We start from the raw sequence: 13,369 nt of genomic DNA, 5'->3' as shown, positions 1-13,369 counted from the left end.
CTTTTTTTTTTTTTTCTGAGATGGAGGGAGTCTCGCTCTGTTGCCCAGGCTGGAGTGCAGCGGCATGATCTCGGCTCACTGCAAGTTCCACCTCCCGGATTCGCCCCATTCTCCTGCCTCAGCCTCCTGAGTAGCTGGGACTACAGGCACCGGCCACCACGCCCAGCTAATTTTTTGTATTTTTAGTAGAGACGGGGTTTCACTGTGTTAGCCAGGATGGTCTCGATATGCTGACCTCATGATCCACCCGCCTCGGCCTCCCAAAGTGCTGGGATTACAGGCGTGAGCCACCGGGGTCTTGCCTCACTTCTGCCATCAAATTCGTGTGTCTGGCTGGTGAGTCTTGCCTGGAATCTAGAACCTTAGATAAAGGAGCCTTGGGAAATGGAGTTTGAGCTTTTCCAACTTCTCCTTTTAGGGGAATGGAATGGAGATCAAGGGAGTCAATGAACAGCAGCAACCACCAGTGGCCAAGAAAGATCTTACGCAAGCATTCACCCCATTCCCAGAAAGGAGGAGTTTAATGATGCTGGGCTACAAGCAGGGAAGGAATCATTCTGAGAACAATAAATGTCTATCACTCAGGTGATTCTCTTACCCCAGTTACTTTGTGTCAGGGTCCTTGAGAGAGAAAAATACTATCCTAGTGTAACTGAGACTCATTACGTAAAACCCCTAGTCACTAAGCAAACAAAGCAACGGTGCTGTGAGTCTCAATAATGGTGTGTAGATTCATGGGGGAGAGAATCTTCCTCCTAAGAAAACTCAGCAGACAGAGCAGACCAGGAAGACCATTGAAAAGTGGCAGCACGAGCAATACTCCTGTTGTCCACAGGATGGATCTGATACAGCAGACCAGCTAAGCAGAGAAGCACCATCCCTGGGAGATGGCACCAGTGCCAGCAGCAACTCCATTTAGGAGGGAACTTCCCAGTTTTCAGTCTCCGGGGCCAGAGAACCAGTGAAGAGGAAACCACGAGCTTCACAAGGCAGCTGAGAGAACCTTACATGAGGGAACCTCTGCAGAGGTTCACAAGTAATTGGGGTATAGTTGAGGAGGGGGTGCTGAACAGCCAGGTGTGATGGTGGCCAATTAGGACAACAAGCCAAACTGACAGTGACAATCAAGGCTTTGTTCACTTACTGCAGCAGTGCAGGCAAAAGGCAAAAAGGGCCCCACAGAAGAGCTCTGGGCAAGCATCAGGAGGATCTGTGCCAACTGGGGAAAATCATCTCACTAAGGAGTCCTGAACAAAAGGCTCCTGCCTTTTTATGAAAGCACAGGTGGGAAGGAAGGAGGTCAGGAAGAAATAGGAGTGGAGAAAAGTGCCTGAGTCAAGCCCTCCCCTCCCATAAGGAGGTCTCTGAATGGAGGTGCCTGGGCTAGACTTGCAGATATGCAAATGAGCATGGTAGACCCAAGGGCCATGAGTCTTTCACTGCAACCGCCTTCAGAAAACTGCATTGCACTGGCTGTGCTCCAGGTCTGGGAAGGAAGGGCAGCTTCCCCCATGAGGCCTGCCAGCAAAGCCTTTGTAAATGTCTATAGTCAGACATGAAAGATCATACAGATGAGGCCAGGCGCGGTGGCTCACACCTGTAATCCCAGCACTTTGGGAGGCCGAGGCGGGCAGATCACAAGGTCAGGAGATCGAGACCATCCTCACTAACACAGTGAAACCCCGTCTCTACTAAAAACAAAAAAAAAAATAGCTGGGCGTGGTGGTGGGCGCCTGTAGTCCCAGCTACTCAGGAAGCTGAGGCAGGAGAATGGCATGAACCCAGGAGGCAGAGCCTGCAGTGAGCAGAGATGGAGCCACTGCACTCCAGCCTGGGCAACAGAGCAAGACTCCATCTCAAAAAAAAAGAGAGCATACAGATGATTTTGGCCTGGAGCTGGACTCCTCAAGGGGAGGCAAAAAGTACTGCTATGATCTGAATGTTTGTGTCCCTCCAAAATTCATGTTGAAACTTAATCCCCCATGCAATAGTGTTAAGAAGTAGGGCTTTTAAGAGGTGATTAGGTCATGGAGGCTCTCACCTAATGCCCATTATGAAAGAGATTGAAGGAGCCTATTTGACACTTTTTTGCCCTCTTTCATGTGAGGAGACAGCAACAAGGCACCATCTTTGAAGCAGAGAACAAGCCTTCACCAGATGCTGAACCTGCTGGTGCCTTGATCTCCTTGATCTTGGACTTCCCAGCCTCCAGAACTGTAAGAAGTAAATTTCTGTTCTTCATCAATTATCCAGACTAAGGTATTTTGTTACAGCAGCAGGAATAGACTAAGATAAATGCTCTTTAGGTGAAGGATTAAAGCCCTGTAATGGAGTGTGGGCACAGAATTATATAAATACTGTATTTTGTACTGATGGTCCCCAACTTATGATTCAACTTTAGGTATTCTAACTTTACTATGATGCAAAAATGATACACATTCAGTAGAAGCTATACTTTGAGTACCCATACAACCATTCTTTCACTTTCAGTATTCAACTACATGAGCTATTCAACACTTTATCATAAAATAGGCTTTGTGTTAGATGATTTCATGCAACTGTAGGCTAATGTAAGTTTTCTGAACATGCTTAAGGTAGGCTGGGCTAAGCTATGATTTTCTGTAGGTTAGGTATATTAAATGCATTTTCAACTTAGGAGATTTTCAACTTATGATGGATTTTCCCAAATGTAACTGCATCATAAGTCAAGGAGCATCTGTACATATGTGTATGTGTATGTTTGTGTGTGTGTGTGTGTGTGTGTGCCTATTAAATCTCTGTTCTTGTTCTTGTGGTGGCCTAGAGAAGCAGATTTTATATTTTAAACTATACCCACATAAAGCTATATTAAAAAGTATTCTTTTAGAAATTCAAGACACCTATAAAGAAACGTACTTTTTCTTCAAAGCTTGCTGGCTTATCTGCTCCACACGACTGCCAGTAATGCCTTAAATTATAACCACAATGTTAACAATGAGTCTGATGTCTAAAATTTTTTCCTGGGACTTCTGAAATCTTTAAAAAGGAAAAAAAATAACTAACTCAGGAAACCAGGTAAGGGAAAATCCCTGAGAACCAAGCACTAACTCTTCTTGAAAGACTTCCAACAAGGTGGTTCCTGTCTGCCCATGTGATAATCACAGGTAGTCTGTCTTTCTCCATTTTCTTTATGACTCCCTGGGAACCAGTGCAGAGTGGGAAAAGAGAAATAGGTTATTTCTCCTTAGGCTTTTTATGAAGTCATCCCTTAGGTTATTTTTCTGTTTTTGTATTTTGTCTTCCTGATGATGACCTACGCACACGTTTTTGGAAATCTTTTTCCAGTGAATCTGAGGGAAATGGAAATGGGCATACTTTCTGAATTAAAACACAGGCTTCCCTAGTCTTGACAACTAACAAAAGGATTCCTATACTTCCAAGGTAGAAAGTTTATTTTAAAATACAGATCGTGTCCTATAATTTTATGTTTTATGCTAGTATTTGGCCTACATGGGAAGTGCATTATGTTCCTGGCCGCTCAATATTTTTGATATTTTTGAACACTCTTAATTTTGGGTGAGTTCTACCTTGTCAACATTTTTAAAAGTCTCACTTGCTCAACCCCTTTTGCAGTAGAGCATAGGCAGATAACTTGGTGCCAGTAGCGTGCTTCATCCACAGGCGACTGGAAGACAGGAAGGCAGAAATGGAAGGTTCTCTTACAATATGTGTCATGGTATAACATCACTTGAAGTTAAAGTTAAACAGGTGTACTAAAGATAAAGATGTACACTATTGTAAGTTAAATAGGAATATTAAGTATCCCCAAGCAATTGTTGAAATAACAAAAAATCATATTGAATAAGCCAACAGAGAAGATAAAATGGAACTGTAAAAATATTCAATTAATTGAAAGAAAGAAGGAAAAAGTAAAGGAGAACAAAGGACAGATGAAACAAACAACAAGATGGTATATTTAAATCTAACCATGTAATTAATCACATAAAATTAAAGAGTTTAAATATCCTAATTAAAAGAGCTTTCAGATAGGCTGAAAATGCCAGATTCGACTATAAGCTGCCGACAAGAAACATATTTCATTTATTTTTATAACTTCAACTTTTATTTTAGATTCAGGGGGTACATGTAGAGGTTTGTTCAACCTAAAAGGGTTTTCCTTTTAGGACAAGCGGTAATGGCAAGGAAAAAGTCTTTACAAGGAAAATCAGTGCTGGCAGCAGGAGTGGTTGAAGCCAAGATGTAACTCAAGAAGGCAATATATCTCTCCTTCTATTTAGATCTGTTAAAAGTTATCTCTGCATGGCTTATAATTTTCAAAGTTCATGTCTTGTGCATTGTTTTTCATTTATCCCAAATATTTCACAAGTTTGGTGCTGTTGTGAATATGATTTTATTCCAATTTTTGATAGCTCATTGCTGGTAATAGAAACACATTGACTTTTGTCTTTTTTGTATCCTGTGAGTTTTCTAAGCTCACTTATTAGTTCTAGTAATTTTTTTGTATACTTCCATCAGATTTCCCCCATAGGTAATCAGGTTATCTGTGAATAAAAATCATCTTTACTTCTTCCTTTCTGATCTTAATGCCTTTATTTTTTATCCTTGCCTCATTGCACCAGCTAGAAACTCTGTATGATGACGAATAGACACAATGAGAGTAGGCATTCTTGCCTTATTTTTTATCTTAGGGGGAAGGCATTTAGTCCTTCACCATTAAGTGTGAAGTCAGCCATAGACTTTTCCTGTATGCCATTTATCTAATTGAGAAAAAAATTAATCAGGAATGAATATTGAATTTGGTCAAATACTTTTTGGGGGTATATTGAGAGTTATACGATTTTTTTAATTTGTTAATATAAATTGTGTTGATAAATTTCTAAATGGTAAACAGACCCTGCTTAGGATAAACATGACTTGGTCATGTTTCTAAAATACACATTGTTGAATTTGACTTGCCAAAGTTTGGTTAAGAATTTTGCATTTATGTTCATGAGAGATATTGCTCTGTAGTTTTCTATTTTTGTCATATATTTGTTGTGTCTGGGCATAAGAGTAATGCTGTCTACATAGGATGACCTGGGAAGAATGCCCCATGCTTCTGCTTTCTGGAAGAGTTTGTGCAGAATTGGTATTACTTCTTCCTTAAACGTTTGGTAAAATTTACCAATGAAATCAAGAAGGCCTGGAGTTTTTACTATGTATTCAATTACTTTGATAAATACGGGGCTATTCAGGTTATTTATTTCTTCTTAGAGAGCTTTAGTGGTTTGTGTCTTCCAAGGGATTTATTCATTTCCTTGAAGTTGTCAACTTTATTGACATAAAGTTCTTTATAATATGGCTTTATTATCCATTTAATATTTGTAGAATCTGTAGTTATGTTACCTCTTATTTTTGATATTGGTAATTTGTGTCTTTTTTATTCCTGATAAATATGGATATATGTTTATCAAATTCATCAATCTTTTCAAAGAATCAGCTTTCATTTTATCTATTATTTTGTTTCCCACTCCAATATTTGCCCCATTTTCCGCTTATTTTGAGTTTAATTTACTCTTCTATTTCTACTTTCTTAAGGTGGAACTTGAGGTCTATGATTTAAGACCTTTCTTCTTATCTAATAATATAGACTTTTAGTGCTATAAATATTCCTCTAATTACTGCTTTAATAGTATCCCACAAATTTTTATATTATGTGTTCTCGTTTCAGTTTAGTACAAAATGTCTTCTAATTTCTTTTTTATCTCGTAAATAACCCATGAGTTTAACTGTGTTGTATACTTTCCAAATACTCAGGAATTTCTGAGAAAACTTACTGTTATTAATTTCTAACTTAATTCTATTGTGGTCAGAGAACTTGTTGAGATTTTACTGTGGTCCAAAACATGATCTATTTTGATGAATGTTTCATGAGCATTTGAAAGGAATATATATTCTGCTGCTTTTGAATGCAGTATCATATAAATATCAATGAGGTAAGTTACTTTATGGTGTTGTTCAAATTGTATACATCCTTACTGATAATCTACTTGTTCTGTCAGTTACATTCAACTCTATCACTACATTTGTGGATTTCTCGATTTCTTTTTGCAGTTCTATCAGTTTTTGCTTCATGTATTTTGTAGCCCTTTTATTAAGTACACAAAAATGGAATTTGTATGTCCGAGGATTTGAGGGTTTTTTTATTTTATTATTATTATACTTTAAGTTTTAGGGTACATGTGCACAATGTGCAGGTTAGTTACATATGTATACATGTGACATGCTGGTGTGATGCACCCATTAACTCGTCATTTAGCATTAGGTATATCTCCTAAAGCTATCCGTCCCCCCTCCCCCCACCCCACAACAGTCCCCAGAGTGTGATGTTCCCCTTCCTGTGTCCATGTATTCTCACTGTTCAATTCCCACCTATGAGTGAGAAGATGCGGTGTTTAGTTTTTTGTTCTTGCGATAGTTTACTGAGAATGATGATTTCCAATTTCATCCATGTCCCTACAAAGGACATGAACTCAACATTTTTTATGGCTGCATAGTATTCCATGGTGTATATGTGCCACATTTTCTTAATCCAGTCTACGATTGTTGGACATTTGGGTTGATTCCAAGTCTTTGCTATTGTGAATAGTGCCACAATAAACATACGTGTGCATGTGTCTTTATAGCAGCATGATTTATAGTCCTTTGGGTATATACCCAGTAATGGGATGGCTGGGTCAAATGGTATTTCTAGTTCTAGATCCCTGAGGAATCTTCACACTGACTTCCACAATGGTTGAACTAGTTTACAGTCCCACCAACAGTGTAAAAGTGTTCCTATTTCTCCACATCCTCTGCAGCACCTGTTGTTTCCTGACTTTTTAATGATCACCATTCTAAATGGTGTGAGATGGTATCTCATTTTGCATTTCTCTGATGGCCAGTGATGGTGAGCATTTTTTCTTGTGTTTTTTGGCTGCATAAATGTCTTCTTTTGAGAAGTGTCTGTTCATGTCCTTCGCCCACTTTTTGATAGGGTTGTTTTTTTCTTGTAAATTTGTTTGAGTTCATTGTAGATTCTGGATATTAGCCCTTTGTTAGATGAGTAGGTTGCGAAAATTTTCTCCCATTCTGTAGGTTGCCTGTTCACTCTGATGGTAGTTTCTTTTGCTGTGCAGAAGCTCTTTAGTTTAATTAGATCCCATTTGTCAATTTTGTCTTTTGTTGCCATTGCTTTTGGTGTTTTAGACATGAAGTCCTTGCCCATGCCTATGTCCTGAATGGTAATGCCTAGGTTTTCTTCTAGGGTTTTATGGTTTTAGGTCTAACGTTTAAGTCTTTAATCCATCTTGAATTAATTTTTGTATAAGGTGTAAGGAAGAGATCCAGTTTCAGCTTTCTACATATGGCTAGCCAGTTTTCCCAGCACCATTTATTAAATAGGGAATCCTTTCCCCATTGCTTGTTTTTCTCAGGTTTGTCAAAGATCAGATAGTTGTAGATATGAGGTATTTATCATTATAGAATAATCCTATATTTTCAACATAATATACTTTTCTCTAAATACTTTTTTGTCTAATATTAACATATTCACTCCAGTTTTCTTTAGAATAGCACTAGCATGGTACACAGCTTTTTATCCTTTTACTTTTAACCTATTTTGTCTATATATTTAAAATGTGCTTCTTAATGTGGTACATAGACACCATGGAATACTATGCAGCTATAAATAAGGATGAAATCATGTCCTTTGCAGCAATATGGATGCAACTAGAGGCCATTATCCTAAGCAAATTAACACGGGGAAAAAAAAATACCATATGTTCTCACTTATAAGTGGGAGCTAAATATTGGGTACTCGTGGACATAAAGATAGCAACAGTAGATACCAGGGACTAATAGAGAGGAGAGGAAGGGACGGGGGCAAGTGTTGAAAAACTAATTATTGGGTACTATGCTTACTGTCTGGGTGATGGGATCATTCGTATCCAAACCTCAGCATCATGCAATACACCTGTACTTGTACCCACTTAATCTAAAATAAAAATTGAAATTATGAAAAATGAATGAAATGTGTCACTTGTAGGCAGCTTATAGGTGAGTCTTGCATTTTTGGTCAATCTGAAAGCTGTCTTTTAATTAGGATATTAAAACCCTTTAATTTTATGTGATTAATTACATGGTTCGATTTAAATCTACCATCTTGCTGTTTGTTTCATCAGTCCTTTTTCTCCTTTTCTTCTGCATTCTTTCAATTAATTGAATATTTTATGGCTCCATTTTATCTTCCCTATCGGCTTACTAGATATGATTTGTGTTGCTTTAGCAATTGCATGGGGATATTTAATATTCATATTTAACTTACTGTACTGTACATTTTATCTTTAGTATGCTTAACTTAAACCTCAAGTGATGCTATACCATAACACATATTGTAAGAGAACCTTACAACAGTATACTTTCATTTCTGCCTTCCTGTCTTTTGTGCTATCATGGGCATACATTTTATTTCTGCTTGTTTTAAACTCCAAAATATATTATTTTTTTTCTGTAAATAGTCAATTATCCTTTAAAGAGATTTAAATAAACAGAAAAGAAAAAGGACTTTTATCCTTACACACATAATTACTATTTGCAGTACCATTTTTTCTTTTTTCTTTTCTTTTCTTTTTTTTTTTTTTTTTGAGACAGAGTCTCACTTTATCACTTACAAGTAGTGCAGTGGTGTGCTCTTGGCTCACTGCAACCTCTGCCTCATGGGCTCAGGAGATCCTCTCATTTCAGCCTCCCAAGTAGCTGCTAGGACTATAGGTGTGTGCCATCATGCCTGGTTAATTTTTCTTATTTTTAATTTTTTTTTTAAGAGAGATGAGGTCTTACTATATTGCCTAGGCTGGTCTCAAACTTCCGGGCTTAAGCAATCCTCTTGCCTTGGCTTCCCAAATTGCTGGGATTATAGGTGTGATCCACTTCAGTACAGGTGTCCAGGCTTCAGTACTTTTTATTCTTTATGTGCATTCCATCTGTATTTTTATTATGTCTGAAGGTCTCCTTTAGCATTTCTCACAGTGTGTCTCTAGTGGTGATGAATTCTTTCAGCTTTTGTATGTCTAAAAATGTAATTTATTTCGAGTTTCTATTTAAAAGTTGTTTTCACTGAGTATAAAACTCTTGATTTGAGGTTTTTTTTCTTTTTTCAAGACGGACTCTTGCTCTGTCCCCCAGGCTGGAGTGCAGTGGCACGATCTTGGCTCACTGCAAGCTCCGCCTCCTGTGTTCACACCATTCTCCTGCCTCAGCCTCCCAAGTAGCTGGGACTACTGGCACCCGCCACCACGCCTGGCTAATTTTTTGTATTTCTTCAGTAGATACAGGGTTTCACCGTGTTAGCCAGGATGGTCTCAATCTCCTGACCTCATGATCTGCCCACCTTGGCCTCCCAAAGTGCTGGGATTACAGGCGTGAGCCACCGTGCCCGGCCAATTTCAGTTTTTCTTGACGGCATTTTTTGAGTATTTGAGAAATGTTGTTCCGCTATCTTCTAACTTGGATTGTTTCCCTTGAAAAATATGCTGTAATTCTTTCTGTGTTACTCTCTACTTAACATGTCTTTTATTCTCTGGCTCCTTTTGAGATAGGCTCTTTATTACAGTTTAGAGAATTTCATCATGATGTGCTTTGGTGTAGTTGCCTTCATGTCTTTTGTGTTTGGAGATCATTGATTGTCTTGGATCTGTAAAGTTTTTGTTTTTATGAAATTTGATAAAAATTCAGCCATTATTTCTTCAAATATTTTTGTTTTATCCTTTATTTCTTTTATAGATTTCAATAGATATTATTCCGTATCTCAGTGATTCCGTTTTCTACATTTTTTGTCTTTTTCTGTTTTTCATTGCATAGTTAACTAGTTATATCTTCTGCAATGTCTAATCTGCCAATAATTCTATTTAGTGAGTTTGTTTAAATCTCCAAGTATAGCTATCATCTCTAGAAATATGATTTGGATTTCTTGTTTATATCGTATCTCTACTTAACTTGATCTTTCCTCTAGCTTTTGGGACATCTGGCATACAGTTATAATAACTGCCTTTATGCCTTTGTCTTCTAATTCTAACATCTGTTTAAGTTCTGGGACCATTTTGATTGACCAAACTTTTATCCTCATATGAGTCATATTTTCTTGCTTCTTTGCATTCCTGGTAATTTTTTATTGGATGCCAGACATTAAGAATTTTGTCTTGTTGTGTACTGGATATTATTGTATTTCTCTAAGTCTTCTTGTGCTTTATTTTTGGATGCAATTAAGTTATTGTGAAACCACTTGATTTGTTTGGATCTGGCTTTTCTGATTTGTTAGGCAGGTCCAGAGTAATGCCAAGTTTAAGCCTAATTATTTTCCAATTCTTATGCAAGATCCTTTGAATGCTCAACCCAATGCCTTCAGAATTTATCAGTTTTCCATTTCACCTGATTGCCACAGGCACTTTTTCAGACTCTGTGCGAATGCCAGCTATTGTTCATGCTAATCTTTGTAAGAGGTTCTTTCTCCTGACACAGGGAGTTTTCTCACATGCAATGTGTTGATCAGTACTCTCAGAACATTTGAAAAGCACTGCCTGGAGATCTCTGGCATTCTCTCTCATGCAGCATTCTCCTCTGTTCTTCAAACTTTAGCAGACTTTGTGTCCCCAGATCCCTAGCTGCATCACTTCAATTCAAGACTTCTGGGCTCCCTCTGGGTTTTTCTTCCCTGACTAAAACCTGAAAATGCACCATTAGCAATAAACTGAGGCAAGCATAACACTCACCTCATTTGTTTCCCATTTCTCAAGGAAAACTATTCTTTATTGGCTTATATCCAATGTCTTGAAAACCATTGTTTGACATATTATTTCAAATGTTCTAGTTGTTTCTGTCAGGAAAATACAGTGCCTCTAATTCCATCTTGACAAGAAGCAGAAGTCTCAAGTTGAAGTCTATTAGATAGTGCATGCTAACTTAAGACACCTTTGCAAAGTTCTCTTGACTATTTCTAGGAATATCTAAGAGATGTCTTGCATGTGTCCTCCACTATTATCTGTACTTCTCCACCAGAGACCTAGTCTCACATGTGGCAGTCCTTATCAAAATCCCAAGTAAATTTCGGTAGATATCAACAAGGTGATTCTACAATTTACACGGAAAGGCAAAGAGAAGAACCATAAGAACTTTGAACAAACAGAACAAAATTGGACAAACAAATCCTAACAATGACAATCCTGGTGAGGTTGCCAAGCAACTGCAACTCTCATTTACTGCTGGTGAAATGCAAAATTATACAGCCACTTTGAAAACCAGTTTGTCTGCTTCTTACAAATTTAAATAAATATGCATTTACCATATGACCTAGCAATTTCATTCTTGGGGATGGGATTAAAATGAAAATTTATTTTTATACCAGTATCATATGCCAACATTTATGGTAGCTGTATTCATAATCACCAAAAACTGGAACCAATCCATATGTTCTTCAACAGGGGAACAGATGAAAAACCTTCAGGTAATGGAATACTACTCAATGACAACAACAACAATAAACTGTTGATATACGCAATAGAATGGATGCATCTCAAATGCATTACACCAAGTGAGAGTAACCAGACACTAAAAAGTAAATAAATTATTTCATTTGTGTGATATTCTGGAAGAGCAAAACCTTAGGGATAAAAGGATTAGTAGTTGACAGTGATTAGGGCTTGGAGGAGGAGTTGAAAACATGAGGGTATTTGGGGGGATGATGACACTATTTTGTTTCTTGACTGTGGTGATGGTTTGTGACCCTACATTTGCCAAAACTCACAAAACTATAAACCAAAAAGAGGGACCCTACTGTATATAAATTTAAAAATTGAATTTAAAAATCTATATGCTGAATATTGAAACACCCACCACTTTTTCATGACTCAGCTCCAAGAATGCAGGCAACTAGGCATATTCCCCAAGGCTGGAGACTGGAAAATTCTTCTCTTGAGATATAAAAAGACGGAGTGGAGGATGAGGGCAAGATTTGCATGTACTGACATTTGAGAAAATTATCCTGAAACAGCTGGGCCACTACTATGAAACTCACATGAAGTCCCGGTAGATATGTCCTGCCTGTACACACATATTTCAAATAATGTCTTAGTATAACCTGGCATCCTATAAGTCATAGGCATTTGAGGAAAGTTTTCAACATGAAAAACAAAAACCAATACAAACCCAAAAGGGAATAAAATTCAGTGAAAATGAGATGATGCACAAAGTTGAAAAAAATTTAAAAACCTGTATTTAATATTATTGAAGAGCTAAGAGAATATATTGACAATAAAAAAGACACAGCAATTAATAAATCCTGTTAATTAAACATAGGGTCAAAAACAAATATCAGAAGGTCTGGAAGAGAAATTGCAGAATATCTCCTAGAAAGTGGAACTGAAGCAAAAGAGATAAAAAACAGGAAAGAAAAATTTTGGAAAGTTACATGATTAATTCAAAATCCTGAATTCAAATAATACATAAAACAGAAAAAGAGAAGAAAACAGAGGAGAAAAGATTTAGCCAATAGAAAATACAAAGTATTTCTGTAACTGAAATTATGAATCCAGCAGAATCAATAAGAAAGGACCTAAGTGAAATGTGTCAGAATGATTTTTTAAAACACAAGAATAATTAAATTTAAAAATAAATAAGATCCAAAAAGTCTGCAGACAGAAAAGCCTGGTTGCATTCAAAGAATGAAGAATCAGAATGACATTATACTTCTTATCTAAGACATTGGAAGCCAGAAGATGATGGAGCAGTACCTTCATGTATTCATGGATATGGATTCATATCCAGCTAACCTATCTAAAGTACAAAAGTGATTAAAGATGACATTTTTAGACATTCAAAGTCTCAAAAGTATTACTTGACAATCTTCATGCACTGTTTCTCAGGAAATTACTAAATGATGTGATATAGAAAAATAAGAGTCAAGAAAAACACCAACAGTAAATCTAAGATGTAGAGCTCCTCGTACAGGGGTGAAACTAAAGGGATTCTCAGTATGCCATCTCTGCAATAGGCCAAATCAAACCATCCAGATTGGAAGAGGAAGATAAAACAAATATGTCTCCATGGGGAATCAAACTGGAAATAATAGATTACCTGCTATGTTTTACCATGTGGAAAATGGTACCAAAAATAATATCACAGGTTTTATAGTTCTTTGACACGTTTGAGAAAAATTTGTGATGGAAACATTAATACTTATAAATAAAAACGAAGCAAATGTCAACTCCAAGGAAAACATACAGTTTCCTTATTTAAAAAGAATACAACCATAAAACAAGATTTTGCCCAGCAGCAAATAATACCTTCATAGCCATAA

This window comes from Homo sapiens, chromosome 10, assembly GCF_000001405.40.
Source record: "Homo sapiens chromosome 10, GRCh38.p14 Primary Assembly".
NCBI lineage: Eukaryota > Metazoa > Chordata > Mammalia > Primates > Hominidae > Homo > Homo sapiens.
Note: the sequence above shows the minus strand (reverse complement) of the source record.